The sequence below is a fragment of the Homo sapiens genome, chromosome 4 (assembly GCF_000001405.40).
Source record: "Homo sapiens chromosome 4, GRCh38.p14 Primary Assembly".
Classification (NCBI taxonomy): Eukaryota; Metazoa; Chordata; class Mammalia; order Primates; family Hominidae; genus Homo; species Homo sapiens.
The window spans coordinates 100,992,693-100,999,759 of NC_000004.12; positions in this window are offsets into that span (position 1 = coordinate 100,992,693).

The window sequence follows — 7,067 nt, forward strand, 5'->3', positions numbered from 1 at the left end:
TGTCTGGAATGAGACTGGGGCCTAATAAAAAGAAGCGTCCATACAGGAGCTCAAATGGGCTGCACCCTGTAGCATTCCAAGGACAGGCCCGAATTCTGAGAAGGGCAAGTGGTAAAAGTATTGTCCAGTCCTTTTTAAGTTGGTGGCTGAGCTTGGTGAGGTGTGTTTTTAAAAGACCACTAAGGGAGGGGGCCTGAGAAATTCCTGAGGAGTAGTAGAATAGCAGATGGAACACTGAAAAGTGATTTTTCAAGGATAGATTTCCACAATGGAAAGAAAATGAGAGGTTCTAAGAGATGGGCTAGCGGCTTGTAACCTACATGGAAGAGGTTATGAAATCACAATAGAATAGAATGGGCCTGTGAGGCTGGAAGGAGGTATTTTCCTTGGTCTAAACCATTTGCATTCTGTGGGAAGAGATTGATAGGTGGAAGTTTCAGTGGGGGAGTAGGTGGGAGTGACCCATGAGAAGGAGAAAAACTGGCCATGAGGGACAGAGGTTGGAACGCTAGCTGCTTTTTTAGCTACCTTATCAGCATAAGCACTGCCCTGAGCAATGGGATCTGATGCCTTTTGATGGCCCTTGCAGTGAATGACTCCAGCTTCCTTTGGAAGTAAAGCGGACTTGAGAAGAGTTTTTATTAAAGAGGAATTAATGATGGAAGACCCTTGTGTAGTGAGGAAACCTCTTGTTGCTCATATAACAGTATGGTGGTGCAGGATATGGAAGGCATATTTATAGTCAGTATAAATATTGACACGTAAGTCCTTTTGCAAGAGTGAAGGTTCGAGTTAAGGCAATGAGTTCGGCTTGCTGAGAGGTAGTGGAGGGGGACAGAAAGTATATGTATCAAGTGTGAGGAAGAAAATAGATTTTGGAAGTTATGAGAACTCTAGAGAGTGAGTTGAACATAGTTTGTGACTTTGAGGGCCTGTAAAATATTAAGGCAGTGGCAGCTACTGCACACAGACATGAGGGCTAGGCTAAAACAGTAAGATCAAGTTGTTTGGATAGAAAGGCTACAGGGCACAGTCTCTCAGCTTTGTCTAAGAACTCTGACTGCACAGCCCTGCACTTTGGCTGTGTGTAATGAAAAAGGAGTGATGAGTTAGGGAGAGCTAGTGTGGGAGCTGTTTTTTTAAGGAATGGAAAAGGGAGTGGGGAAAGGATTTAGGGTCTATGGGGTCAGCTAGGTTTGTTTTTGTGAGTTTATATAATGGTTTAGTCAGGATGGTAAAACTAGGTATCCAAAGGCGGAAGTACCTAACTGTGCCTAGGAAGGAAAGGAGTTGTTGTTTTATAGAAGGGGTTGGAGTTTGGGAGATTAGCCAGACATGATTAGCAGGGAAAGCATGTGTGTTTTCATAAAGAATTATGCTGAGATAGGTAACGGATGAGGAAGAAATTTGGGCTTGACTAAAGTAATGGGGGCTGTCCATGAAGTCTTGCGGCAGTACAGCCCAGGTAATTTGCTGAGCCTGATGGGTGTCAAGGTCAGTCCAACTGAAAGTGAAGAGAGGCTGGGATGAAGGGTGCAAAGGAATAGTAAAGAAAGCATATTTGAGACCCAGAACAGAACAATGGGTTGTGGAGGGGTTGTGGAGGGAGGTTTTGGGGATAGGAGAGTATATGGGTTTGGCACCACAGGGTAGACAGGCAAAACAATTTGGTTGATAAGGCGCAGATCCTGAGCTAACCTGTAAGGCTTGTCCGGTTTTTGGACAGGTAAAATGGGGGAATTGTAAGGAGAGTTTATAGGCTTTAAAAGGCCATGCTGTAACAGGCAAGTGATAACAGGCTTTAATCCTTTTAAAGCATGCTGTGGGATGGGATATTGGCATTGAGCAGGGTAAGGGTGATTAGGTTTTAATGGGATGGTAAGGGGTGCATGATCAGTCTCCAAGGAGAGAGTAGGGGTGTCTAATATTTGTGGATTAAGGTGGGGAGATACAAGGGGAGGATGCAAAGGAGGCTTTGAACTGGGGAAAAGGGTGGCAGTGAGGTGTGGCTGTAGCCTAGGAATAGTCAGGGAAGCAGATAATTTAGTAAAAATGTCTCAACCTAATAAGGGAGCTGGGCAGGTGAGAAAAACTAAAAAGGAGTGCATTAAAGAATGTTTTCCAAGTTGGCACCAGAATTCGGGAGTTTTAAGAGGTTTAGAAGCCTGGCCGTCAATACCCACAACAGTTATGGAGGCAAAGGAAACAGGCCTTTGAAAAGAAGGTAATGTGGAGTTGGTAGCCTCCATATTGATTAAGAAGGGGATGGACTTACCCTCCACTGTAAGTTACCCAAAGCTCCTCGTCTGTGATGGTCTAGGGGGCTTCCGAGGCGATCGGGCAGCATCGGTCTTCAGCAGCTAAGCCGAGAAGATCTGGGAAGGAGTCAGTCAGAGAGCCTTGGGCCAGAGTTCCAGGGGCTCGGGAGTGGCTGCTAGATGAGTTGGACAGTCCGATTTTCAGGTGTCCTGCACAGATGGGACACAGCTTAGGAGGAATCCCAGGCTGCGGGCATTCCTTGACCCAGTGGCCAGATTTCCCGCACTTGAAGCAAGTTCCCGGGGGAGGCAGTCCTGGAGGAATTCCTGGCCTCTGCAGTTTAGGCTTTTGGAAATTTTTGTGTGCTGGAGATGTGGCTGGGGTTTCTCTCACAGTGGAGGCAAGGAATTGCAACTCAGAAATATGTTGCTACTTGGCTGCCTCTACTCTATTATTGTACACCTTGAAGGCGAGGTCAATTAAGTCCTGTTGTGGGGTTTGAGGGCCAGAATTTAATTTTTGGAGTTTTATTTAGTGTTGGGAGCAGATTACATAATAAAATGCATATAGAGAATAAGACGGCCTTCTGACTCTTCAGGGTCTAGGGCTGTAAAGTGTCTCAGGGTTGCTGCCAAACGGGCCATGAACTGGGCTGGGTTTTTCATATTTGATGAAAAAGAGCCTAAACACTAACTGATTTGGGAGAGGTCGGATAAAGAAAAAGGAGCATTAACCTTGACTATACCGTTAGCTCCAGCCACCTCTTTAAGAGGAAATTGGACAGGTTGGGGAGGGCTAGTTGCAGAATGAAACTGCAAGCTGGACTGGGTGTGAAGAGGGGAGGTGATAAAAGGATTATAGGATGGGGGAGCCGAGGCTGAGGAAGAATTGGGACCTGGCTCAGCCTGGCAAGGAGCAGCCTGGGGAGGAGGGGAGATGTCAGATGGGCCTGCAGAAAAGGAAGATTGGAAAGACTCAGGATGCTTGTGGTTGGGACTGAGGGGGCAGGCGAGAGGGAAAGAAGGAGGATTTGGGAGGAATCGCATTGGGAACAGAGACTTGGGAGGGATATGAAAAAGAATACCTGGACGTCAGGCAACTCAGACCATTTGCCCATTTTATGACAAGAATTATCTAGATCTTGTAAGATGGAAAAATCGAAAGTGCTATTTTCTGACTATTTGGAACCATTGTCGAGTTTGTATTGGGGTTAAGTGGCATTGCAGAATAAAATAAGGTGTTTAGGTTTTAGGTCAGGTGTGAGTTGAAGAGGCTTTAAGTTTTTGAGAACACAGGCTAAGAGAGAAGAGGTAGGAATGGAAAGTGGAAGGTTGCCTATAGTGAAGGAGGCAAGCCCAGAGAAAAGGGAGGGTAAGGACATGGAAAGAAGGGGTGGGGGCTGCTTGCCCCCCAGGAAAGTGGAGAAGGGGTGGGAGGTGCTTGCCACCCAGGAAAGTGGAGAAGGGGTGGGAGGTGCTTGCCCCCCAGGAAAGTGGAGAAGGGGTGAGAGGTGCTTGCCCCCCAGGAAAGTGGAGAAGAGGTGGGAGGTGCTTGCCCCCCAGGAAAGTCAAAAAGGGGCAGGAGGTTCTTGCCCCCAGAAACGTTGTAAAGGGTTAGAGACACGAAGAGAAGGGGTGGGGGGTGCTTGCCCCCCAGAAAAGTGGTGGTTGCAGCTAAGGGTGAAGGATCAAGGCAGGCATCCCTGCGGTGATCAGACACCTCTGAAATTTGGGTAAATAATCAAGCAGGCATCCCCGCAGTGATTAAACACCAAGGGAAGACTGTCTTCCAGAGTTCGTGACCGGCGCCAGAGTTTTGGGTCCATGGATAAAATGTGTCTCCTTTGTCTCTACCAGAAAATGAAAGGACCTGAAATTAAGAGAAGGGAGAGATTGAAGTGTGGCTCCAAGATTGAAAGGAGAAAGAGGTTGAGGGATAGTGAGAGAGGTTGGAGAAGGGAGTAAAGAGAGGCTGCTTACCTGATTTAAAATTGGTGAGATGTTCCTTGGGCTGGTTAGTCTGAGGATCAGAGGTCATAGGTGGATCTTTCTCATGGAGCAAGGAGCAGGAGGACAGGGGATTGATCTCCCAAGGGAGGTCCCCAGATCTGAGTCACAGCACCAAATTTCACTTGCATCCATGTGAAGAGATCATCAAACAGGCTTTGCGTGAGCAATAAAGCTTTTTAATCACCTGGGTGCAGGTGGGCTGAGTCCAAAAAGAGAGTCAGGGAAGGCAGATGGGGTGGGGCCATTTTATAGGATTTGGGTAGGTAGTGGAAAATTGCAGTCAAAAGGGGTTGTTCTCTGGCAGGCAGGGGCAGGGGACACAAGGTGCTCAGTGGGGGAGCTTTTGAGCCAGGATGAGCCAGGAGAAGGAATTTCACAAGGTAATGTCACCAGTTAAGGCAGAAACAGGCCATTTTCACTTCTTTTGTGATTATTCAGTTACTTCAGGCCATCTGGATGTATACGTGCAGGTCACAGGGGATATGATGGCTTAGCTTGGGCTCAGAGGCCTGACAGCAACCTATGGGATGGGAAAAAATATTTGCAAACCATACATCTGATGAGGGGTTAATATTCAAAACATATAAGAAGCTCAAACAACTCAATAGCAAGAAGATAAATTACCTGATTTTAAAATGGGCAAAGAACCCAAGTAGACATTTCACAAATGAAGACATACAAATGCCCAGAAGGTATATTAAAAAATGCTTAATATCACTAATCATCATGGAAAAGCAAATTAAAACCATAAGAGAATCCCATCCCATACCAGTTAGAATGGCTTTTTTCAGAGACAAAAGACAATAAAAGTTGTCAAGGAAATGAAGAAAAAAGAGCCCTGTACGCTGTTGACAGTAAGGTGAATTAGTACAGCTATTATAAAAAATGGTATGAAGGTTTCTCAAAAAAATTAAAAATAGAACTATTATATTACCCAGCAATCCCACTTCTGGGTATATAGCCAAAGGAAATAAAATCAGTATGTCAAATAGATAGCTGCACTTCCATATTTATTGCAACACTATTCACAATAGTCAATCTATGGAATCAACCTAAGTGTCCATTCATAAAAATAGATAAAGATAATGATATATAACACATATTTTATAAATATATATTTTATATGTATTCATATATAACATATATTTATATATAATATATTCTTTTATGTTATATGTATTATGTATAAAATAATATATTTTATTTATATTATAGATAATATATGAATACATTGTTTATGTATTATATAAAATATGTTATATAAAACATGTTTTATATAAAATATATAATATATAATATATAATATATATTTGTAATATAAAATATATTATTTGTATAAATAATATATGATATATTTTATTTGTATAAAATATATTTTTAAATATATACAAAATATATTATTTTCATATTATGTATTATGCATATATAATATGTATATATTACACATACATCTGATAAACACACATACGACAGAAATTCCACTTTTAAAAGAAGGAAATTCTGTCATTTGTAAAAACATGGATAAGCTTGGTGGACATTATTTTAACTGAGATAAGCCAGACAAAAGAAGACACATACTGCATGATCTCACTTATATGTGGAACCTTAAAAGTTGAACTAATGGAAGTAGAGAGAATTGTAGTAACTAGAGCTGGGATGTGGGTGGAGAGTTGGTGATATGTTGATTAAAGGACAGAAAATTTTAGTTGAATAGGGAGAGTGTGTTTAAGACATCAATTGTACAGCATGGTGACTGTAGTTAACAACAATGTATTGTATTTTGAAAATCACTGACAGAAGTTTCTCACCACAAAAAAATGATATGTAAGGTAATGTATCTGTTAACTAGCTTTATTAAGCCATTTCAAAATGTATACATATTTCAAAACAGTACATGATAAATATAAACCATTTTGTCAATTAAAGAATAAAAATAACATAAAAATAAATTATGGTTTTGGTTTCTTATTGAATTTTGAGAGTTATATATTTTTGTACTTTTTATTATTATTATTAATATTATTAGAGATGAGGCCTTGCTCTGTCACCGAGGATATAGGGTGCAATCATAGTGCACAGCATCCTGAAACTCCTGGGCTCAAGCAATTCTCCTTCATTAGCCTCCCACCATGTTCAACTGGTTTTATTATTTTTATTTGACATATAATTACTGTATGCATTTATGGAGTACAGTATGATATTCTGACACATATGCACAATATGTAATAATTCAGGGTAATTTGCACTGGGTACATTCAAAATCCATGATCATTACTATTTGAAAATAAAAATAAATTATTGTTAATTATAGTCATCCAATGGTGTTATGGTATACTGGAACTTATTCCTTCCACCTTGCTGTAATTTTGTATTCCTTTACTTACCTGTTGCTATCTGCTCCCCCTTCCAAGCCTCTAATAATAACTATTCTACTCCCTCTTCATGAAATCAACTTCTTTAGCCTCCATATATGAGCGAAAACATCCAATATTTGTCTTTTTGTGCCTGACTTATTTCACTTAACATAATGTCCTCCAATCTCATCCACATTGCCACAAATTTAAAAATTTTATTCATTATTATGGCTGAATGGTATTTTACTGTGTATATATACCACATATTTAAATCCATTTATCTGTTGATGAACATGTAGATTGAGTCCATATTTTGGCTATTGTGAATAGTGTTGCAATAAACATAGAAGTGTAGATTTATTTCTGACATACTGATTTTATTTCCTTTGGATATATACCTAATAGTAGGATTGTTGTATTATATAGTAATTTTATTTTTAGTTTT